The 23553-nt window shown below is 53.3% G+C and overlaps 2 protein-coding genes across 22 annotated transcripts in view, besides 2 other annotated features; one reads left to right on the forward strand and one right to left on the reverse strand.

The window, feature by feature from the left end:
- On the forward strand, nt 1–12386 carry HCN3 (hyperpolarization activated cyclic nucleotide gated potassium channel 3). 15 transcript variants are annotated; one of them, XR_007062431.1, is made up of 10 exons: nt 1–406; nt 4949–5378; nt 6512–6673; nt 7077–7295; nt 7703–7849; nt 8262–8502; nt 9711–9875; nt 10319–11245; nt 11445–11545; nt 11929–12386. XR_007062431.1 is itself a non-coding variant. In NM_020897.3 (8 exons), exons 1-8 carry the CDS (start codon nt 129–131, stop codon nt 10999–11001), a joined length of 2325 nt encoding a protein of 774 aa, NP_065948.1. In that variant the 5' UTR covers nt 1–128; the 3' UTR covers nt 11002–12386. The 15 variants fall into 15 exon arrangements, 6 of the variants coding, with proteins under 6 accessions (NP_065948.1, XP_011508119.1, XP_011508118.1 ...); XR_007062432.1 differs by lacking the exon at nt 1–406 and adding an exon at nt 628–1953; XR_921904.3 differs by having other exon boundaries at nt 10319–11545.
- Nucleotides 7190–7690: an enhancer, noted in NCBI's record as "H3K4me1 hESC enhancer chr1:155254443-155254943 (GRCh37/hg19 assembly coordinates)". NCBI's record gives its function as "activates a minimal SCP1, AML or CMV promoter by ChIP-STARR-seq in naive H9 embryonic stem cells {active_cell/tissue: H9 hESC(naive)}" and the evidence as "EXISTENCE:reporter gene assay evidence [ECO:0000049][PMID:30033119]".
- PKLR (pyruvate kinase L/R) overlaps nt 11831–23553 on the reverse strand; it is a 19362-nt gene continuing 7639 nt past the window's right edge. For 3 of the 7 annotated variants that reach the window (XM_047422591.1, XM_047422592.1, NM_000298.6), the window contains 10 exons: nt 22636–22818; nt 18203–18294; nt 17975–18106; nt 17654–17840; nt 17020–17290; nt 16773–16923; nt 15976–16128; nt 15715–15881; nt 14294–14475; nt 11831–13216 (listed from right to left, as the gene is read on the reverse strand). In XM_047422591.1, the coding sequence (XP_047278547.1) occupies nt 13110–13216; nt 14294–14475; nt 15715–15881; nt 15976–16128; nt 16773–16923; nt 17020–17290; nt 17654–17840; nt 17975–18106; nt 18203–18294; nt 22636–22818 (1625 nt within the window). In that variant the 3' untranslated portion in view covers nt 11831–13109. Of the gene's footprint in view, nt 13217–14293; nt 14476–15714; nt 15882–15975; nt 16129–16752; nt 16924–17019; nt 17291–17653; nt 17841–17974; nt 18107–18202; nt 18295–22635; nt 22819–23418; nt 23491–23553 lie in introns of those variants that run through there. The other 4 variants (XM_011509640.4, XM_006711386.5, NM_181871.4 and 1 more) reach the window with 4 other exon arrangements.
- Nucleotides 16645–17177: an enhancer, noted in NCBI's record as "H3K27ac-H3K4me1 hESC enhancer chr1:155263898-155264430 (GRCh37/hg19 assembly coordinates)". NCBI's record gives its function as "activates a minimal SCP1, AML or CMV promoter by ChIP-STARR-seq in naive H9 embryonic stem cells {active_cell/tissue: H9 hESC(naive)}" and the evidence as "EXISTENCE:reporter gene assay evidence [ECO:0000049][PMID:30033119]".

The following is a 23553-nucleotide window of genomic DNA, read 5'->3' on the forward strand; positions in this document are numbered from 1 at the left end:
GATTCCGAGCCTACGACGCCTCCGCTAGAGCCCGCGGGGCTGCGCCGACTCCTGCTCTGGAGGGGTTGCGGGTACCTGATGGCCACAGAGGGCTCTAGGAGGCCGAGCGTGTAAGCGGGGTGGGCGCCATGGAGGCAGAGCAGCGGCCGGCGGCGGGGGCCAGCGAAGGGGCGACCCCTGGACTGGAGGCGGTGCCTCCCGTTGCTCCCCCGCCTGCGACCGCGGCCTCAGGTCCGATCCCCAAATCTGGGCCTGAGCCTAAGAGGAGGCACCTTGGGACGCTGCTCCAGCCTACGGTCAACAAGTTCTCCCTTCGGGTGTTCGGCAGCCACAAAGCAGTGGAAATCGAGCAGGAGCGGGTGAAGTCAGCGGGGGCCTGGATCATCCACCCCTACAGCGACTTCCGGTATTGGGGGCTTGGCGGGGAGGGCAGGGTACATCAATCCCACCCTCGCGGGCAGCGACACCGGGACCCGGCCCGCCCCACCCTCCACGGTCACTTCATTTCCAGCCCGGGGTCCCTTGGTGGGGCGGGAGAGTCACTTGCACCAGTCTAGCCTGGGAATTCCTGGGCGGGTATCCCCTGCCGGAGGTCCTCCGTGCCTGGACAGGCTGGGGGCACCAGAAGGGGCAAGCAGACATCAGGGGATCTCCAGAGACCTGGATTTCCTCTTTCAGGAACCCGGGACCCCATCCGGACCAAAGGAACTACCAGAGTTTGGGACCCCTGCCTCCTCCAGTCCTGCTTGCTGGAGATCTAGGAAATTATATTCTAAGTATCGGGGCCAGTCTGAGGGAGAAGCCGAGCTCCGCCATCTCCCATCCCCACACCCGCTCCTTAGCACCTGCCTAGTTCAGCATGACAGACTACCAGGAAAAATAGGGACGCTGAAGGGGGCGGGGGGTCCAGACCTCAGCTCTGGTCGCTGTCCCTAGTGCTGAAGGCGGGGGCGGCGGGGCGGGGCCGAGACTCAGAGTGACTGAGGCGGCAAAGCAGGGGCAGGACCACCACCCAGGTGACTCCCAGAGAAGGAACAGAGGGTGGGGGTGGGGCCATTTCACAGTCTCCGTCAGGGTGTACCTCTACATCAAGGTCGCTAGGGGAAGACAGCAGCCCTGTCCTTGGGGGAAATGAAGGACAGCTCTTGGATGAGGCAGGGATGTGTGCAAAGCACCTAACCTGGGGAACTAAAGAAGCAGAGAGGAAGAGGTGTGAATCTGGAGCCTCGAAATACAGTTGTAGACCCAGACATTATCTTGAATCCACATATATACACACTCCCTCTATGTCTCTCTTCCTCCCATTGTTCCTTTCACTCCTGTCTTTGCTGCCTCGTTCCCACCCAGCCAGTGCGCCTTTTCTAGTCTCCTGTGGATCTCACTCTCTTCCCTCAGTTCACTCGCAGACGGATCCCCAGAAGCCTGGTATCCCTCTGATTGTGCTTCTCCATTCTCTATACTACATCACCCGCCAGGCTTGTGACCCACCTGTGAGTCAGGCTGTGAAGATGCTTTCATGGCTAGGCGAACCCTCTTTCCCTCCCCTCTCTTAGTGTCTCACAATACAGGATTCCTCCTCAGCAGCCGAGGAGAGAAAAGAAGAATGGCCGAGGGTTTTTGTTTATTGAAAACATACAGTCTAAGGGGCTTCCCAGAGGCCCGGACTTGAGGAAGTTTCTTTCAGGGCTGAAAATTGATTTTGCAGTCCGAGTCAGAAGGGGCTAGCTCCTGAGTTGACACTGGGATTAGGTGTGTCCTAGAATTAAAACCACCATAGGTAACTGAGTCCCTGAGATTTTCCTGTGCCATTCTCTGAATGAGGGCTTCACACAGTTCCCTCTTGACCTCTTCTTTCCACGGTGTCTGCCACAGCAATGTCACTCACCCCTGCCCATGCCTCTGCCTGTGCTCAGCCAGAGTCCCAGTGGACACAGGGAGGCCAGAGGAGGAAAGGTATGCAGAACTCAAGCCTTGCTGCTTCATGATCTCCTGTGGAGCTTCTCTGTGTGTGCAGCCCTGTTTGAGGTTCTGTGGAGGGGGAAGGGCATCCCTGGAAAGCTCAATTCAGAGGAAGGCAGGATAGACCACCCCACCCTGAGACATGGATGAGCAAACCTCAGCAGAGGAACAGGATCCGTGGGTCCAACTGTGTTGGAGAAGAGGAATGGGGTGGAGAAGGCTGGGGAGGGCATGAGGTCCTAGACTAGAATGGGCAGATAACTGGAGATGGGGGAAGCAGCAGCCTTTTCAGAAATCTGGGGATAAAGAGTGAGTGAGTCATAATACCAACTAGTGCCTGTACCACACTGTCACATCTATTGTCTCCATGTAAATGTTTTCAGCAATGCTGTGAGATTAGCACAGGATACTTTAGCTTTTTTTTTTAACCTTAAAAATATTTAGCAATGGTGAGGTAAATGATATATAGTAGGGATATGTATGTAGATGGAAGAGTAATTTTATTTATTTATTTATTTATTTTTATATTTGTTTATTTATTTTGAGAAGGAGTCTCACTGTGTCGCCCAGGCTGGAGTGCAATGGCACAATTTTGGCTCACTGCAACCTCCGCCTCCCGGGTTCAAGCGATTCTTCTGCATCAGCCTCCTGAGTAGCTGAGATTACAAGCGCATGCCACCACGCCTGGCTAATTTTTGTATTTTTAGTAGACGTGGGGTTTCACCATTTTGTCCAGGCTGGTCTCGAACACTTGACCTCGTGATCCACCCACCTCAGCCTCCCAAAGTGCTGGGATTACAGGTGTGAGCCACCACACCGGCAAATTTTTATTTATTTATTTATTTTATTTATTTATTTATTTTGAGACAGAGTCTCACTCTCGCCCAGGCTAGAGGGCAGTGGAGCGGTTTCAGCTCACGGCAACCTTCACTCCCAGGTTCAAGCAATTCTCCTGCCTTGGCCTCCTGAATATCTGGGATTGGGATTACAGGTGCGCGCCACCACACCTGGCTAATTTTTTTTTTTTTTTTTTGAGACGGAGTCTCGCTCTGTCGCCCAGGCTGGAGTGCAGTGGCACAATCTCGGCTCACTGCAAGCTCCGCCTCCCGGGTTCACGCCATTCTCCTTCCTCAGCCTCCTGAGTAGCTGGGACTACGGGCGCCCGCCACCATGCCCAGCTAATTTTTTGTATTTTTTTAGTAGAGATGGGGTTTCACCGTGTTAGCCAGGATGGTCTCAATCTCCTGACCTTGTGATCTGCCCACCTTGGCCTCCCAAAGTGCTGGGATTACAGGCGTGAGCCACCACGCCCAGCTATTTTTTTTTTTTTTTTTTTTTTTTTTTTTTTTTGAGACAGAGTTTCACTCTTGTTGCCCAGGCTGGAGTGCAATGGCGCAATCTCGGCTCATGGCAACCTCCACCTCCCAGGTTCAAGCGATTCTCCTGCCTCAGCCTCCTGAGTAGCTGGGATCACAGGCATGTGCCACCACTCCCAGCTAATTTTGTATTTTTAGTAGAGATGAGGTTTCTCCATGTTGGTCAGGCTGGTCTCGAACTCCCAGCCTCAGGCGATCCGCCCACCTTGGCCTCTCAAAGTGCTGGGATTACAGATATGAGCCACCGCACCCAGCGCCTGGCTAATTTTTAATTTTTTTTTTTTTTTTTTTGAGATGGAGTCTCGCTCTGTCACCCAGGCTGGAGTACAGTGGCGTGATCTCTGTTCACTGCAGCCTCCGCCTCCCGGGTTCAAGTGATTCTCCTGCCTCAGCCTCCCGAGTAGCTGGGACTACAGGTGTGCACCACCATGCCCAGCTAATTTTTATATTTTTCGTACAGACGGGGTTTCACCATGTTGGCCAGGATGGTCTCGAGCTCTTGACCTTGTGATCTGCCCATCTTGGCCTCCCAAAGTGCTGGGATTACAGGCGTGAGCCACCACACCTGGCCTTCTTCTTTTTTTCTTTGAGGCAGAGTCTCACTGTTGTCACCCAGGTTGGAGAGCAGTGGTGCGATCTCGGCTCACTGCAACCTCTGCCTTCCGGGTTCATGCCATTCTCCTGCCTCAGCCTCCTGAGTAGCTGGGGTTACAGGCTCTCGCCACCATGCCCAGCTAATTTTTGTATTTTTTGTAGAGACGAGGTTTTGCCATGTTGGCCAGATTGGTCTCAAACTCCTGACCTCAGGTGATCCGCCAGTCTCAGCCTCCCAAAGTGCTGGGATTACAGGCATGAGTCACCAGGCCTGGCCTAATTTTTAACTTTTGTAGAGATAGGATCTTACTATGTTGCCCAGGCTGGTCTTGAACTCCTGGACTCAAGTGATCCCACTTTGGCCTCCCAAAGCGCTGGGATTACAGGCGTGAGCCATAGCTTTTCTTTTGAGACAGGGTCTCGCTCTGTCAGTCAGGCTGGAGTACACCTCAGCCTCCTGAGTAGCTGGGACTTTAGGTGTGCACCACCTGGCCTGGCTAATTTTTTTTATTTGTTGTTGAGATGAGGTCTCACTATGTTGCCCAGGCTGTTTCTTGCTTCTTTTGCTCAGCATTGCATTTGTGAAATTCATCCATAGGGCTGAATGTAGCTGTAGTTGGGTAATTTCACAGCTGTATGGTATGCCAGCCCATAAATAGTGTATTTATCTACTTATCTGTCTACATTTTTCTACACAAGGACATGTGTGTTGTTCTCAAATTTAATGCTGCTATAAACATTCCTATGTGTATCTCCTGGAGCGCATATTTTCCTTGGATGTGTCTATACGTAGGAATGGGATTGCTGAGTTGCAGGGAATGCAAATGTTTAACTTCACTAGATAATGCTGAACTATTTTCCCAAATGGTGGTCCCAACTTATACTCCCAACAGCTGTAAACAGTCATTCTGTTATTGTGTATCTTTGCCCATTCTTGGCCATGTCAGCCTATCTTCTGTCAGTCTAGTGGCTGGTGAAATATCCTCATGGTCTTACTCCTCATCTCACTCCCACCTTAGGTTTTACTGGGACCTGATCATGCTGCTGCTGATGGTGGGGAACCTCATCGTCCTGCCTGTGGGCATCACCTTCTTCAAGGAGGAGAACTCCCCGCCTTGGATCGTCTTCAACGTATTGTCTGATACTTTCTTCCTACTGGATCTGGTGCTCAACTTCCGAACGGGCATCGTGGTGGAGGAGGGTGCTGAGATCCTGCTGGCACCGCGGGCCATCCGCACGCGCTACCTGCGCACCTGGTTCCTGGTTGACCTCATCTCTTCTATCCCTGTGGATTACATCTTCCTAGTGGTGGAGCTGGAGCCACGGTTGGACGCTGAGGTCTACAAAACGGCACGGGCCCTACGCATCGTTCGCTTCACCAAGATCCTAAGCCTGCTGAGGCTGCTCCGCCTCTCCCGCCTCATCCGCTACATACACCAGTGGGAGGAGGTGGGGTGGGGAGATGGCGGGCGGGGCAGTGGGTGGGGGATGTTGGGGGAGAAGGGGGCGGGGCGGCTGGTGGACTTCTCTAGGAAGATGCTATGGGTGGGGCTCCTGGTGACCTTATAGTGTGGGGAAGATGGGTGGGGCTTCCGTGCGTGAGCTCTCTCCAAAACTGGTGGGGGAGAAGCAGGAACAGAATGAGGGTTCGGGGGATGGGGCCTGGGGTGAAGATGGTGGCACAGGAGGGTGGAGCACAGCTGCCGGACACACTTTAGAGTTAGCTGGATGCTGGGCGGAGGATGAGGTGTGGAAGAAGCTGGAGCTTCAGCTTCAGAGCAGCAGAGTTTAGTGGTTCAGACTGTGGGCTCTGCAGTCTCATTGTCTTTGGTCAGATCCCAGTTTTATTGTTTACTATAGGAGACTTGGTTTTCTGTTCTATAAAATGAGAGTGTTAAATACACTTACCTGTGATAAGACTGTTAGGATTAAAGGAATTAATACATGCAAATCACTTAGAAAGGTGTCTAGCACATACTAAGTTCTCAGTGAAGCCACTATTATATATTATTATTATTATTATTTTTATTATACTTTAAGTTTTAGGGTACATGTGCACATTGTGCAGGTTAGTTACATATGTATACATGTGCTATGCTGGTGCGCTGCACCCACTAACTCGTCACCTAGCATTAGGTATATCTCCCAATGCTATCCCTCCCCCCTCCCCCCACCCATTATATATTATTATGACTGGAAAGGAGAGGGCTGCTGGATTAATTCTTACACATATGCCCTGGAGACATTACACTGTGAAATGCCCTCTCTCTTTTCTAGGCTACACCTGGGCAGCTTGTGCAATAGATTTGTTTGATTCTCTGCTGTGACACTTACTATGTGGTTCTGGGCACATGACTGACCTCAGCTTTCCTATCTATAAGATGAGAGAAATAAGAAACTGCTTTGCATTAGCTATACATGTGTGCCACAAAACTCCACACAAATGAATAATAGTTGTATTTTTTAATTCATGGGGGCTGGGGCTAGGGAGTAGTTCAGAAGAGAATTTGCCAGGCTGGGAATGGAGGAGGACAAGCAGGGAGGGGTTCCTGTCCACAGCAGCTCCTCCTCGGACTCCTCAGATCTTTCACATGACCTATGACCTGGCCAGTGCTGTGGTTCGCATCTTCAACCTCATTGGGATGATGCTGCTGCTATGTCACTGGGATGGCTGTCTGCAGTTCCTGGTGCCCATGCTGCAGGACTTCCCTCCCGACTGCTGGGTCTCCATCAACCACATGGTGGTGAGAAGTCCCCACAGCTCTGCCTTTCCTGGGCCTTCTTAGGGCTCTTCTGCCTGAGTAGCAGGGATGGCCACAGGGAGCAGGAGGTGGGAGATGATCACAACAGAAAATAGGAGCGAGGAGGTGGGGAGGAGGGAGGAAAGGGGAAGGAGACCCAGAAGAAGTGCTCGTGTGTTGGAGGGAGCAGGCAAAGGAAGGGTACCTACCCGGAAGCTGAGGCCCCCAAGTTGCAATAGAGGACCCTTTTGCCTCAGGGCCCCCCAGAACCAAACTTAAGTGCCTGCCAGGAGGAAGGCCTGCAGTAGAAGGGGCAGACAGAAAGACCAAAGAAGGAAAAGGGGCAGGCAGAGAATGAGGCTCCGAGGGGCCCATGCCCAGCTCTGCAATATACTCTGCCCCTCAGAACCACTCGTGGGGCCGCCAGTATTCCCATGCCCTGTTCAAGGCCATGAGCCACATGCTGTGCATTGGCTATGGGCAGCAGGCACCTGTAGGCATGCCCGACGTCTGGCTCACCATGCTCAGCATGATCGTAGGTGCCACATGCTACGCCATGTTCATCGGCCATGCCACGGCACTCATCCAGTCCCTGGACTCTTCCCGGCGTCAGTACCAGGAGAAGGTCAGCAGGGACAGGAGAGGGAGGTGTGGCATGGAGGGGTGTTGGAGACTGGGTAGCCTGACTTGAGGCCCATTCTGATGTGTGCCCCTGTTGCGTCTCTGTTTCCTTTCCTGCCCTGTGTCCATTTGTTCCCTGCCCCTGCATGTACCTTTTCCTTGTTTGAACCTATGCCTGTGCTTGGCCCCTCTGCTGTCCACGCCTGGGTTTTCCTATGACTGTGCTCTGTGTCTTCCCGGTATCCATCATTATCCGTATTCCTCTGTGGCCCTGTGTATCCATGTCTGGTTCCACGTTTCACCCCTTTGAGTTTGACCTGTGTCTCTGACCTTCCGCACACACACCCCACTGTGCCGGCCCCAAATCTCTCCCTCTGTCCTCTTGCCCCTGGCAATGGGCTGGCCCTCCAGTACAAGCAGGTGGAGCAGTACATGTCCTTCCACAAGCTGCCAGCAGACACGCGGCAGCGCATCCACGAGTACTATGAGCACCGCTACCAGGGCAAGATGTTCGATGAGGAAAGCATCCTGGGCGAGCTGAGCGAGCCGCTTCGCGAGGTGGGGCTGGGTTGGGCCTGGAAGGGGGGCTCTTCAGGGACCTGGAGTGCTGTCTGGTGGTAGGGGCTATTGGTCAGCAGGTGCTCCTATAGGGAATGAGGCCTGCAGAGGGCCCCGTGGGAGGCCAGGTATTTGGGCTTTCAGGGGCTAGGGTCTTTCTTGAAGGCCCTTTGAGGGTGAAGGATACATGAGGAGGGACTATAGGGATCTCTGTTTTTGGGGGATGGTCCTGCAAGGGCTCATGGGAAAGATCTGAAGGCAGGAGCTTAGGGATGGTCCCAGGCCCACTGATGCCTCCCCATCCTTTGGCAGAACATGACCCCAGGGGTGGGGTTTCTGGAAGCGGATGAGCTCGGTGGGATCATCTCAGGTCAGGGGCACAGCCTGCCTGACAGGCCCCTCCCCTGTCCAGGAGATCATTAACTTCACCTGTCGGGGCCTGGTGGCCCACATGCCGCTGTTTGCCCATGCCGACCCCAGCTTCGTCACTGCAGTTCTCACCAAGCTGCGCTTTGAGGTCTTCCAGCCGGGGGATCTCGTGGTGCGTGAGGGCTCCGTGGGGAGGAAGATGTACTTCATCCAGCATGGGCTGCTCAGTGTGCTGGCCCGCGGCGCCCGGGACACACGCCTCACCGATGGATCCTACTTTGGGGGTCAGCAGGCCTCAGGGAGGGTGGCAGGGTCACGAGCAGACAGTGGAGAGGGCAACTGCTCCCAGGCTCTGGGTCCCTGCCTCAGTACGCTGCAGAATCACAGAGCTCCAGCCCCTCCCCAGGCCTACTCAGTGAGAATCTCTGGGCTGGGGTCTGGAGCTCTATAGTTTTTGTTTGTTTGTTTGTTTGTTTGTTTTTTGAGGTGGAGTCTCGCTCTGTTGCCCAGGCTGGAGTGCAGTGGCGCAATCTCGGCTCACTGAAAGCTCTGCCTCCTGGGTTCACGCCATTCTCCTGCCTCACACTCCCGAGTAGCTGGGACCACAGGCACCCGCCACCACGCCTGGCTAATTTTTTGTATTTTTAGTAGAGACGGGGTTTCACTGTGTTAGCCAGGATGGTCTCGATCTCCTGACCTCGTGATCCGCCCGCCTCAGCCTCCCAAAGTGCTGGGATTACAGGCGTGAATCACCGTGCCAGGCCTGAGCTCTGTAGTTTTTAAAGCTTCTCAGGAGATTCTAATGCACAGCCAGGTTGCAAACTACTGGGCCAGAGGGCCTTTTAGAACCCTTAGACAGTGAAATCCAAGGATCCTATGAGATGAGGGAAAGGCAGGAGTGAAGCAGAGCTGTCCTGGAGCATAAGCTTTTTGGAGCTGCCTGGTGGCGTGTTTCAGGGACCCAGCCTGTGGCAGTAGGGGCAGTTCAGCCTTCCACTGCCCAAAGTGACCTGAGGCTTATATAATCTCTCAGTCCCCAAACCACCCACTACTCCCATCATGTTGCACTTTGCTCTTTGATACTGCTTTTCTCCTTCAGGGCTGCCCTCAGTGTTTATTCAAGGGGGTGGGAGGGGTGGGTACACTGAGTTGCCCAGGTCTACCTCTTGGGATTGAGCAGTCGGGGAGGGGTGGGAGTTAAAGTGGAGTGGAATCACTGGGAATTTAGGGCCAGCAAGACCTGCCTGGTCATCAGCCTTCATATGGAGAGAGTAGGAAGGACAGGGAGCAGTAACCCAGTAATTGTGGGGGTCTGGAGAAAGACAATGCTTGGGGTGTTTAGGGTTCCTGGGGCACGGAGGTAATAGGTAATCAATGGTTTCTCCCAAGTCTAGGGAGGAGCCTTAGAAAGTTGGGTCCACTGCTGCAGGCTCAGCAAGAGGAGTTCTGGGGACAAGGACGGGGTTCTGAAGCTTCCTCCCAATTTCTGCAGAGATCTGCCTGCTAACTAGGGGCCGGCGCACAGCCAGTGTTCGGGCTGACACCTACTGCCGCCTTTACTCACTCAGCGTGGACCATTTCAATGCTGTGCTTGAGGAGTTCCCCATGATGCGCCGGGCCTTTGAGACTGTGGCCATGGATCGGCTGCTCCGCATCGGTGAGACCTGTCCACCCCATCTGCTCTGGGTCCAGACTGTGCTCTCACCCCACCTCCAAAGCAAGGAGCCCAGGCTTTAGGGCTCCAGGGTCATATCCCAATCCATTCAGTCCCAACAAATGCTCCCTAACAGGACTTTCAACACTGTGGCCCACTGTCCCTATCCCTCAGCATGTCCTTCCCAGGAGAGATAGCATCCCAAGCCCCCATGTCCTGAGTCCTCCTTCCCCTGAGTACCAGTCCCCTGACCCTCGCTGTCTCTGATACATACCCTCTTCCTCCAACCCCCATCTCAACCCCCATAGCCCCATTGCCATACTACTGACTCCCATCCCCTACCCTCAACCCCACCCCATCCTGATACTCTCATACTCTTTGATATCCAACATCCATCTTGGATTCCTTCCCTATCCTTAACTTCTCCCTCCCGGTACAACTTCTAGGCAAGAAGAATTCCATACTGCAGCGGAAGCGCTCCGAGCCAAGTCCAGGCAGCAGTGGTGGCATCATGGAGCAGCACTTGGTGCAACATGACAGAGACATGGCTCGGGGTGTTCGGGGTCGGGCCCCGAGCACAGGAGCTCAGCTTAGTGGAAAGCCAGTACTGTGGGAGCCACTGGTACATGCGCCCCTTCAGGCAGCTGCTGTGACCTCCAATGTGGCCATTGCCCTGACTCATCAGCGGGGCCCTCTGCCCCTCTCCCCTGACTCTCCAGCCACCCTCCTTGCTCGCTCTGCTTGGCGCTCAGCAGGCTCTCCAGCTTCCCCGCTGGTGCCCGTCCGAGCTGGCCCATGGGCATCCACCTCCCGCCTGCCCGCCCCACCTGCCCGAACCCTGCACGCCAGCCTATCCCGGGCAGGGCGCTCCCAGGTCTCCCTGCTGGGTCCCCCTCCAGGAGGAGGTGGACGGCGGCTAGGACCTCGGGGCCGCCCACTCTCAGCCTCCCAACCCTCTCTGCCTCAGCGGGCAACAGGCGATGGCTCTCCTGGGCGTAAGGGATCAGGAAGTGAGCGGCTGCCTCCCTCAGGGCTCCTGGCCAAACCTCCAAGGACAGCCCAGCCCCCCAGGCCACCAGTGCCTGAGCCAGCCACACCCCGGGGTCTCCAGCTTTCTGCCAACATGTAAAACCTTTGAGTACATCCAGCCTTAGTTCTTGGGGTGCAGTAGTATGTACCCAAGGGCAGATGCCTCTTGGGGAAGGCCATGGGGACCTGAAACATTGCCCCATGGAAATGTCGACCCTGTGCGGACATTCCGCATACTGCCATGAAGACGGTCTCTGTGTCCTCAGCTCAAGAATCCTGTAGCTTGTCCCATCATAATCCATTCACCCGTTCATCATGTGTACTGAGCAGCTACCATGTTCAAGGTAATATGCCAGGCGCTGTATGTCTCCACTGCCAAGTAGAAGTGACTCAAAACCCTCTGACAAGGATATTCCCTTGGCTATGGTCCTGCCAGGTGCAGGCCCAGGCCCATGACCCCACCTTTACTAAGCACAAGTACTTGCCACTGCCATCACTGCCAAGTAACTAGATGTCTCTGTTTCCCTGCCAATGATCCTGCAGGTTCTGCCCGGTCTGGTTATCTTCCTGTTCCTGTAGCATAGCCAGGCACTGCCAGTCACCTGTGCCCCCATTGCTGTCAGCAGATGTCTTGGGTCCTGAGTGTGGGTATCCACTTTTACCCGCTCACTGCCACCTGTGGACACTCTGTGTCTACCCTCTGAGTGGGAACATACTTCTAAGTTCCCTGCAGTCTCTGTCCTGTGGTAGACCATCTTTTTGTAAACTGCGAGCTTCCTCTTCCCTGTACCCTCTGCCCCAGTCGTGACCCCCTAAAAGTTAAGGGGTAGTTGGCACCTCCTTATTAATATGCCAGCCTAGATCCCCCCCGGTGGAGGGGCAAATGGCTGAATCCTTGTGTGATATTTTTTTCTTCGCTTGTTTATTTATTCATTTATTTAATTGTATTTATTCATTTACTAACTTTATGTGTTACCAATTAATTTTGTTTACCCATTCCTTTATCCATCCCTCCCCTCCTTTTCAGGTAAGGAGACAGGAGGAGTAGGAGGAGGCAGGGCCTCTCCATGCCAGCCTCTGTGGTCCTTGCCCAAACCCATCAGCGCAATACTTGAACCTTCTCCCAGGTAGGGGCAGGAGGAGCCACATGAGAGAGGGAGAAGGACCGCGTTTACCTTTAGAGTTTTGTTTTGTTTTTTCCTTCTGAGTTTGCTGTTGGTGCAGGAATAAGGGAAAGGCCCAAGGTATCCAAGCCTGGGGAAGGGCAGGCCAGCCAGCACCTCTGCCTTCTCAGGGACAAGAGTAGTCCTTTACCACCCTCACTCTGCCTGTCCCCTCTCCTACTCTACAGCATTAAAGACTGTGGGACCAGGACCCTAAGTCTCCTTTCCTTCTGGGTGGGGAGTTCTGGGGTTCTTGGTGTGTGGGAGAAGTTTTATAATTGCTTCCAAACAGCTGGGTTTAAATATAAAATAGACACACTCATTTTTGGCTCTTGGTTTGTGTGTGGGAACAACATGAGTGGGAAGGAATTTCTGGGTGCAGAAGGAAGCAGCCGGGGATTTGACCAAGCAGGGTATCAGGCAGGCATGAGAGCAGCCAGGACAGTGGTCTACAAGCCCAGCACGGAGGTTGTGAAGACAGTGACAAAATCAGCTGCCCAGCCCTCACTTCTCCCCAGCATCCATCCCACCCAGTTTTCCCAAAAGCGTGGACTTTCATGTAACTGTTAGTCACCATGAAGGGGTAGCCTGCCCTGGCACGAGATGCCCAGATTATCATGAGGGCTACATATGAGAATGGGAGACTGTGGACAAGATTGCCCTGTCTCCCCTCTCCCCCACCCCAAGGGATGGGATGCCTGGGGTTATGGAATTAACCAGCCAAACTGGGATTAAAGACTCAAGGCATCTTAGGGCCTGCTGAGCAGATTGGATGCAGGGAATGTACAATTGGTGCTGTTGGGTGGCCAGTGCATAATTGGACACAGACTTTCAGGACCTGTGTGAAATGGAGATGGGGAAGGGGCAACCTCGAAGGGGCTAGATGACAGTTATAGTCTCAGATAGGCCTCAGGTAGGGAGGGTCAGGAATAGAGAAGAGAGGACTTAAAGGTGGGGCTTTGGAGGGGTGTGGGCTGGAGAACGTAGACTGGGGAGGAAGGGATGGGGTACAAGGGTAGGCTGGGCCAGAGGAGGGAGGGGCGTCTCAGGATATGCTTAGCACCCGCATGATGTTGGTGTAGCCGGAGCCAGGTCGCCAGCCTGTCACCACAATCACCAGGTCTCCAACACGGAGGAAGCCACGGAGCTTTCCTGGGGGAGGGAAAGAAAACAAATCATTGGACAGGTGTGGTGGCTCACACCTGTAATCCCATCACTTTGGGAAGCCAAGGCAGGAGGATCACCTGAGGTCAGGAGTTTGAGACCAGCCTGGCCAACATGGTGAAACCTTGTCTCTACTGAAAATACAAAAATTAGCTGGGTGTGGTGGCGCATGCCTGTAATCCCAGCTACTAGGGAGGCTGAGGCAGGAGAATCGCTTGAACTCAGGAGGTAGAGGTTGCAGTGAGCCGAGATCACACCACTGCACTCCAGCCTGGGGACAGAGCAAGACTCCATCTCAAAATAATAATAATAATAATAATAATAATAATAATAATAATAATAATAATAATAAAAGAAGAAAAGAAAGAAAATTAGTCATTGAGGGACCAGGCCAGCCCTGTAACGAGAACCAGCCACCACCTTTCACCACATCAAGGCCATCCTGTAGGGAATGAGGCAGTGAAGTATGTCCCACGGGTGGCATGCAGGGAATGTGACCACTGCAGTATATTAAAGGTGTAAGAGATGCCAGCACGGTGGCTGACGCCTGTAATCCCAGCACTCTGGGAGTCCGAGGCGGGCGGATCACGTGGTCAAGACATTGAGACCATCCTGGCCAACATGGTGAAACCCTGTCTCTACTAAAAATACAAAAATTATCCAGGCGTGGTGGCGCATGCCTGTAGTCCCAGCTACTCAGGAGGCTGAGGTGGGAGAATCACTTGAACCCAGGAGGCAGAGATTGCAGTGAGCCGAGATCGTACCCCTGCACTCCAGCCTGGCGACAGAGCAAGACTCTCTCTCAAAAAAAAAAAAAGGTGCAGGAGTATCTGTGGGCTAGGGCAGAGTGTGTTGCTAAGTAGCACGGCCGTCTGCCTGTGTGGCTATGCTGATGGAAGAGGTATTTGTGATATGCCAGACTGATATCTCAGTCTTAGTGACTCTCACAGGGAAAACCTGGGACCACAGGAGAGAGGCAAGGCCCTTTGAGTGGGTATGGGAAGCTGGGTTGGGGGGCTCCTGATACAAATGGTAGGAGTGGCAGGGAAGGTCTAGGTAGCTCACCACTTTCAATGCCAAATTGCACCCGGCGATCTACATCATCTGCCCAGATGGCTTCTGGAGGTTCACGGTAAAGCAAGGGGAAGACTCCTCGGCATAAGTGGACCTGGCGGGCAGCCTGGGCAGAGCGGGTGACAGCAATGACTGCTGCCCGAGGTCGGTACCGAGACAGAAGCTGGGCTGAGCTGGAGGAGGCAGAGAAGGTCAGCCCAGAACAGCAAGAAAGTGGTGAACGAGGAAAGGAGAATCTTTGTTCCAGTTCCAGGTGTCACTAACAAGCTGTGTGACCCTGGGTAAGTCATCATACTTCTCTGGGCCTTGGTGTTCTCACCTGTAAAATGAGTGTAAGAATGCCTGCCTCCCAGGCCGGGAGCGGTGGCTCATGCCTGTAATCCCAGCACTTTGGGAGGCCGAGATGGGAGAATTGTTTGAGCCCAGGAGCTGGAGACCAGCCTAGGCAACATAGTGAGACCCCATCTCTGCATTAAGAAAAAAAAAAGAAAGAATGCCTGCCCTCCCTACCACACAAGAAAGATATGAGATAATACAGATATATCAAATGAGATAATAAGGAGAAATCTCTTTAAGAAATATAAAAGCTGGCCAGGCACAGTGGCTCATGCCTATAATCCCAGCACTTTGGGAGGCCAAGGAGGGTGGATCACCTGAGGTCAGGAGTTTGAGACCAGCCTGGCTAACATGATGAAACCCTGTCTCTACTAAAAATACAAAAAATATGCAGGGCGTTGTGGCATGCGCCTGTAATCCCAGCTACTCGGAAGGCTGAGGCAGGAGAATCACTTGAACTTGGGAGGTGAAGGTTGTGGTGAGCTGAGATTGCACCATTTTACTCCAGCCTGAGCAACAGAGCGAGCTGCCGTTCTCAAAAGAAAAACAAAACAAAACAAACAAACAAAAACCCAAGAGTATAAAACCCTTTTGAGAAAGTCCATTATGTGCTTAATTTACTATATAGATATTAAGTACTATCTAGTACTTAATATCTCCTGTTAATCCTGCCAACCCCATGAAGAACAAATCATTACCTTGTCCTGTTCATGAGGAAAGACAGCAGGCTAATAGAGCTACATTTCTGAGTAAAGACTTAAACTCAGACCTACTGGACCCTTCTGTAATACCTCAGTATTGGTAGGCTCTGTGGGCCGAATGGACTTGCCTCTGAGCCCCAGAAGCCCAAATGGCCTTGAAGCCAATGTGCCCAGTGATGCCGCTGTCCCCTTCCAGCCCCCAGAAGCTCACTGGCATTCTGTCTCTCCTGGCCTCCAGCTGTCATTGCTGCCTCTCCTCTTGTCTCAGGTGGACACTCTTCACCCCTGGTGACCAGACTAAACCCAAGCCTGGGGCCCGTCCCAGCCCACCCCTGACCCAAAGCTCCATCTGGACATTCCCAATATCCCCCTCACCGGCCAGTTGTGGTCAGCACAATGATGGCAGCAGCACAGCACTTGAAGGCAGCCTCCACAGCACCAATGGCGGTGACCTCAGTGGGATCACGGCTTAGTGGCGCTGCCCGACGTAGCTCCTCAAACAGCTGCCGGTGGTACACTGCGGCCTCTGCCTCCCGGGCAATCTGCAGGTGCCAGAATGTTAGTCTGGGAAGGGGCACTGGGGTATGGAAGGGATTTGGTTCCCTGGCCCATTTGCTTTTCATTCTGAGCTCCTACCGCATGCTGCATCTTCACCGCTTCCACAGGGAAGTTGCCCTTGGCAGTCTCCCCTGACAGCATGATGCAGTCAGCCCCATCCAGCACAGCATTGGCGACATCGCTTGTCTCTGCCCTCGTTGGCCGGGGCTTGGTAATCATGCTCTCCAGCATCTGGGGGACAGCGTGGATGTCAAAGTTGTAGGACTCACACTGTGACTGGGGACCCTGCCCAAGCTACTTCTCTGACACCCACACTCTCAGAGTGTCCCAAAATCCAGGGTCACAGTCACAACCCCTGAAAATAGGAGTCAAAGTATATTTAACTTTGTCGTTTGGTCACAACCCCTGAAAATAGGGGTCAAAGTATATTTAACTTTGTCGTTTGAGGATCAAACACTTTTCATCCAAATGTGCTATAAACCTACAGTGTGGGCTGGGTGCAGTGGCTCACACCTGTAATCCCAGCACTTTGGGAGGCCGAGGCGAGTAGATCACCTGAGGTCAGGAGTTCGAGACCAGTCTGGCCAACATGGTGAAACCCCGTCTCTACTGAAAATACAAAAAGTAGCCTGGCATGGCGGCGGTCACCTGTAATCCCCACTACTTGGGAGGCTGAGGCAGGAGAATTGTTTGAACCCAAGAGGCGGAGGTTGCAGTGAGCGGAGATTGCGCCACTGCACTCCAGCCTGGATGACAGAGTGAGACTCCGTCTCAAAAAACAAAACAAAACAAAATAAACCCCTACAGTGTGGGTATTCACCCACAGGTGTCCCTAAAACCCACAGAGTGCCGAACCTCAAGGCCTCACTCCAGACCTGTGTGGCACAGACAACAGGCTTGCCCGCCAAGTTGCAGCGCCCAATCATCATCTTCTGAGCCAGGAAAACCTTCTCTGCTGGGATCTCGATGCCTAGGTCCCCCCGTGCCACCATGATGCCGTCGCTCACCTCCAGGATTTCATCAAACCTGAGAGGTTGGGAGAATCAAGGCAGAGGCAGGCAGGAGAAGAAAGGTGATGGGGAATAGCGACAGGGCCGAAGGGGAACAGAGCCCAAGCCTCACCTCTTCACGCCTTCGTGGTTCTCAATTTTGCTGATGATCTTGATGCCGTGTCCTTCCGGACCCAGAGCAGCCCTGACGGCAGCCACGTCGCTGGCTTTCCGCACAAAGGAGGCAAAGACGATGTCCACCCCATGCTCCACCCCGAAGCGCAGGTCTCGGACGTCCTGCTCGGACAGCCCGGGCAAGTCCACCTGGGCCCCTGGCAAGTTCACGCCCTTCCGGCTGCCCAGGACGCCGCCGTTCTCCACTTGGGTCACCAGTCCCTCTGGGCCTGCGGACATGGAAAGAGCCAGCTGCGGTCAGGGGTGAGGACGGGGCACAGTTGCAGCAGAGAGGACACTGGGGCTTGGACCCGCAAGAGGTCAGGAACCATGTCCTCCTCATCTCTCCGCCCTTGTTCTGGGCTTCGCCCGGAAGAGGCACAGATGGACGTCCGTGGAAGAAACGACCCACCCATAGTCCAGCCCAAACCCAGGGTGAGCGCAGAGTCTACACGCTGGGGACTCCTGGGACGGGCTGGCAAAAACGCGTGGCCAGGGGAAGGTGTGATCGGTCTGAGGGCTGATGGGGGAGCCAAGGAGAAGGGAATGTGCCCAGCGCACGGATGTGGTCAGGGCGGGAGGCGCGTCCGCACCGATTTTCTGGACCACTAGGGAGATGAGCCCGTCGTCAATGTAGATGCGGCCCCCCACCGGCACGACCCGGACAATATTGGGGTAGTCCACCCACACGGTGTTCGCGTTCCCCCGCGTCCGGAACGCGGGGTCCACAGTCACCAGCACCTGGGAGCCCTTCACCAGCTCCACTTCCGACTCTGGACCCTAAGGAGGGAGCCAGAGGAGATGTGAGTTCTGAGCCCCGGAGTCCGGGACCCGCCCCTGCCCACGCCTGGGCCCAACCCTACAGGCGCCGCCTTTCCGGCCCTGGCCCAGCGAGTCCCAGCCCCACTGCTCACCCCCTGCAGGATCCCAGTGCGGATCTCCGGTCCCTTGGTGTCCAGGGCGATGGCCACGGGCCGGTAGCTGAGTGGGGAACCTGCAAAGCTCTCCACCGCCTCCCGGACGTTGGCGATGGACTCAGCATGGTACTGGGGGAGGGAGCGGAGCGAGGGTTTCAGGGGAAGGTGGCCAGGACCTCGAGGCATCCTCCTGCCCCACCCACTGCCCGGCGGCCCGTCCCGCACCTCGTGGGAGCCGTGGGAGAAGTTGAGTCGCGCAATGTTCATCCCGGCCTTGATCATCTCCTTGAGGCGCTCCACGGAGCGAGATGCTGGCCCTAGAACCAGAGATTCACGTTCAGACAACGTTCCCCCAGAACATGAGAGGCAACCAAACCCAACCCATTACCATTCTCAGAACGCCTCACGCCACAGGCGTCCTGTTACCTGATCTTTATTCCCTGATGCAACCCCTGCCCACAGATCACAGACTCCCCTTCCCTCTCAAGCCAACATCCATCCCCTTGGGGAGGCAGCAGTGTGGAAATCGGAGGGGAGTGCCCTCCGCCAGGCCTGAGGTCACTGTATGGGCATGTATGGGCACTGTATGGGCATGGGTATGTAAGTGCTGCTTGCCCGGCTACCCCAGGGTATGGGGTGTAGGGCAGGGGCTGGGAGCCAGGTGAGGGCGTTTGGGTGCGGGCTTTTAGAGCTAGGAGGCCTCATGGACTGAGGAGAGCTGAGTTCTATCCCATGCCTGCACTGCTATGGGGCAGCTGCTAGCCGAGAGCAGGTTGGCTCATTCTTCGGTCCCTATCTGTCTTTCCACTTGTGCACTAGGTCTCCTCCTTCTCACCTGCTCAAGGACATAAATTAAGCCATTCTGTGGTCCTCTGTGACACCCATGTTTTCCTTTTCTTTTTCTTTCTTTTTTTTTGAGACGGGGGGAGTTTCACTCTTGTCGCCCAGGCTGGAGTGCAGTGGCACCATCTCAGCTCACTGCAACCTCTGCCTCCCCAGTTCAAGTGATTATCCTGCTTCAGCCTCCTGAGTAGCTGGGATTACAGGTGTGCACCACCACGCCTGGCTAATTTTTTTGTATTTTTAGTAGAGAAGGGGTTTCACCATGCTGGCCAGGTTGGTCTTGAACTCTTGACCTCAGGTGATCCATCCACCTCGCCCTCCCAAAATGCTGGGATTACAGGTGTGAGTCACCGTGCCCAGCCATGTTTTCCTTTTTTACTGGATCATCCCCATCCGCAGGTAAACCTACTGTTATTTCTTTCATCATTAAAAAAAAATTCTCTTAATCTCCTGGTTTCCCCTCAGTCCCAGTATTTGCTCTCACTTGCAGCAAAACTCATCGCAAGAGTTATCTGTACTTGCTACCTCTAGTTCCCCTCCCCCATTCTCCCTTGAACCCACCCCACTCAGGCGTTGGCCTCCATCTCTCCACTGCATCTGTTCTTGTCAAGGTCACCAAGAACCTCTGTGTTTTTGCTCCATGTAATGCTCAATGCTCAGTCCTCCTCTATTGGCCCATCAGCAGCCTGAACATACATCCTTCTTTGACACACTGTCTTCACCTGACCTCCAGGGCTGCACCCTCTCTTGGTTGACTCCTACCTCACTAGCTGCTCTTTCCCAGTCTCCTTTCCTTGTTCCTCCCCTTAACGTTAGATACCCTGTTCTCTTCTCCGTCATTTCACCTACACTCCTTTGGTGGTCTCAACTAGTCTCATGGCTTGAGATACCATCTATATGTAGCCAACTCCCAAATGTCTCTCCAATCCAGACCTTTCTCCCAAACCCAGAGTTGTGTACCTGACTGCCCCCTCTATCACATTTGGATGGCTAATAAGCATCTCAGACTCAACATGTCCCAAGCAAACTTCTGCTCTCCCCCCAACCCCTTCCACCACAGTCTTTCCTGCTCAGTGGCTAATGCATCGTTCCAGTTCCTTATGGCAAAAACCTCAGAGTCACCTGTCACCTTTGACTCCTTTCTTTCTCGCCCACACTCCATACCCCATATCCGATCAATTAGCAAATCCTGTCAGCTCTACCTGCAAAATACATTCAGAATCTGACCACTTCTCACCACCTCACTGCCGCCAACTGGTCTGAGCCAGAAATACTGCAGGGGCACCCTTCCCCCCACCCCCCATCTATTTTCAGTGCAGCAGCAGGGGAGGGGAGGCTCTATTAAAACATAAATAAGAGCTTGTCATTCCCCTGCTCAAAACCCTGCAGCAGTTTCTCATTTCACTCGGAGGAAAACGCAACTCAAATTCTAAAAATGGCCTACAAAGCTGCACCTGATCTTCCTGTCCGTACACAGTCTCTTCATGTCTGCCGCTCTTCCCCCTTGATGGTTTCTAGCTCTTCTAACCTTCTTGACTTAGGCCTTGACACTGACTGATCCTTCTTCCTGGAATTCTCTTCCCCCAGGTCTCTGCATGGCTAATTCTCTCATCTCCTTCAAGTCTTCCCTTTGGTCTCATTTACTCAATAATAACTGACCTCCCTATTTAGGGCTGCAACCTGTCTTCACCCTCGTACTCCTGATGCCCTTATCACACTTGATTTCTTTCCCCATAGCACTTAAAACTTTCACTTTTTCTTTCTTTTCTTTTCTTTTTTTTTTAGATGGAATCTCGCTCTGTCACCAGGCTGGAGGACAGAGGTGCGATCTCTGCTCCCTGCCTTCCAGTTCAAGTGATTCTCCTGCCTCAGCCTTCCGAGTAGCTGGGACTACAGGCATGTGCCACCACGCCCAGCTAATTTTTGTATTTTTATTAGAGACGGGGTTTCACCATGTTGGCCAGGATGGTATCGATCTCTTGACCTCGTGATCAGTCTGCCTCGGCCTCCCAAAGTGCTGGGATTACAGGCATGAAACACCACGCCTGGCCTTTTTTTTTTTTGAGACGGAGTTTCGCTCTTGTTGCCCAGGCTGGGGTGCAATGGCACGATCTTGGCTCACCGCAACCTCCGCCTCCCAGGTTCAAGCAATTCTCCTGCCTTAGCCTCCTGAGTAGCTGGGATTACAGGCATGCACCACCATGCCCGGATAATTTTTTGTATTTTTAGTAGAGACGGGGTTTCTCCATGTTGAGGCTGGTCTCGAACTCCTGACCTCAGGTGATCCGCCCGCCTCGGCCTCCCAAAGTGCTGGGATTACAGGCGTGAGCCACCGCGCCCAGCTTTTTTTTCTTTTTTTAAAAACAAACAAACAAACAAACAGAGTTTCGCTCTTGTTGCCCAAACTGGAGTGCAATGGCGTGATCTTGGCTCACTGCAATCTCTGTCTCCCGGGTTCAAGCGATTCCCCTGCCTCAGCCTCCCGAGTAGCTGGGATTATAGGCACATGCCACCATGCCTGGCTAATTTTTTGTATTTTTAGTAGAAACAGAGTTTCACCACATTAGCCAGGCTGGTCTCGGACCCCTGACCTCAGGTGATCCACCTGCCTCAGCCTCCCAAAGTGCTGGGATTATAGGCAAGAGCCACCATGCCCGGCCAACTTTCACTCCTTTCTTTCTTTCTTTCTTTCTTTCTTTCTTTCTTTCTTTCTTTCTTTCTTTCTTTCTTTCTTTCTTTCTTTCTTTCTTTCTCTTTCTTTCTTTCTTTCCTTCCTTCCTTCCTTCCTTCTTTCTTTTCTTTCTTTCTTTCTTGCCTGCTTGCTTTCTTTCCTTCCTTCCTTCCCTCCCTCCCTCCCTCCTTCCTTCCTTCCTTCTTTCTCTCTCTCTTTCTTTCTTTCTTTCCTTCTTTCTTTCTTTCTCTCTTTCTCTCTAGGGTCTCGTCTGTCACCTAGGCTGGAGTACAGTGGCTCGATCATGACTCACTGCAGCCGTGACCTCCTGGGCTTAAGTGATCCTCCCACCTCAGCCTCCTGAGTAGCTGGGACTACAGGCATGCACCACCACACTCAACTAAGTTTTGTATTTTTTGTAGAGATGGGTTTTGCCATTTACCCAGACTGGTCTCAAACTCCTGGGCTCAAGCGATCTGCCAACCTTGGCCTCCTAAAGTGCTGGGATTACAGGCATGAGCCACTGAGCCCAGCCCACTTTTTTTTTTTTTTTTTTTTTTTTTTTTTTGTGAGATGGAGTTTTTCTCCTGTTGCCCAGGCTGGAATGCAATGGTGTGATCTCGGCTCACCACAGTCTCCGCCTCCTGGGTTCAAGCGATTCTCCTGCCTCAGCCTCCTGAGTAGCTGGGATTGCAGGCACGCACCACCATGCCCGGCTAATTTTGTATTTTTAGTAGAGACGGGGTTTCTCCATGTTGGTCAGGCTAGTCTCGAACTCCTGACCTCAAGTGATCTGCCCACCTGGGCCTCCCAACATGCTGCGATTACAGGCATGAGCCACCATGCCCGGCCTCACTTTCTAACGGAATAAATAATTTACTTATTTTAAATAATTTATTGTGCTTACTATTTATTGTCATACTCAGCTAGACTGTCAGCTCCCCAAGGGTAGGGATTTTTGTCTGTTTTTTTCACTGATCTACTCCCAGGGCCCAAAATCTTGTCTACTATATGCTCAACAAATTTTTGTTAAATGAATGACTGTGTCAAACATGGAGAAGTCTCAAAGGAGACAAAAGATGAAGAAGCACCTCAAGAAATACCAATAGGCCCTGTGTGGCTGCAGGGGGATGGGAGTGCTTACCGATGGTGGCAATGATGCTGGTACTGCGAGCAGCCACGGGCTCGGAGTCAATGTCCAGTAGGCAGAGGTGTTCCAGGAAGGTGTCTGCCATAGCAGCTGGCAGCTGCTGCTGCTGGAAGAAGGCAGTGCCCAGCTCCTGGGTCAGTTGGGCCACACTGGCCCGCCGCAGATACCCCGCTGGCCCTGTGGTAGAAGGGGGCTCAGGGACTGCATGTCACCTGCCCTTCCTCCCCATGCCTTCGTCTCTCAGCATACCCTCTGTTCCTTCCCTTCTTATGAGCTGGGCATCATGCATATATTATTTTATTATGTCACAAGGATCCTATAAAGCAGGTACTGTTAAATGTTCTATAATTATCCAATTTTATGGATAAAGAAACAGAGGCTGAGAAACAGGAAATAAATGGTCCAATATTATACAGCTTCTAAGTATGGATCAGCTAGGATTCAAATCTAGGTCTGACTAACTCTAGCCCAAGTTCTTGACCACTCAGTTATACTGACCCCGCACAACCCAGGACCCCCCGACCTGCAGCTACTGATGACCCTCAACCCCACCACCCCTTGATGTCTAGTCCCCAGCAGCCTCACCCTATGCAGACCCAGAATCACCCAGTTCCTGCTCCAAAGGTCTCTGTTTTCTCCCTTCCAACCCCTGGCTACTGGCTGGCTTCCCCACCCCATCCTCTGAGTCTCCCCAGGCTTCTCAAAGCTGCTACAGACACAGAGGTCCCTGTAGCTTGACCCATCCCAGTTCAGAGGAGCCCCCGATTCCAGCCGCACCTTCCATGCCACTGCACACCTCTCTGGGTCTCCCTCTCTGTGGGTCTGCTCCACACTGTTGGGTTGTCAGAGGCATGAGGCCCAGCTGGGCTGGGGATCAGTTCTGCAGACTGGTTAAAGTGTCACCACTGTCTC

Source organism: Homo sapiens, chromosome 1, assembly GCF_000001405.40.
Source record: "Homo sapiens chromosome 1, GRCh38.p14 Primary Assembly".
NCBI lineage: Eukaryota > Metazoa > Chordata > Mammalia > Primates > Hominidae > Homo > Homo sapiens.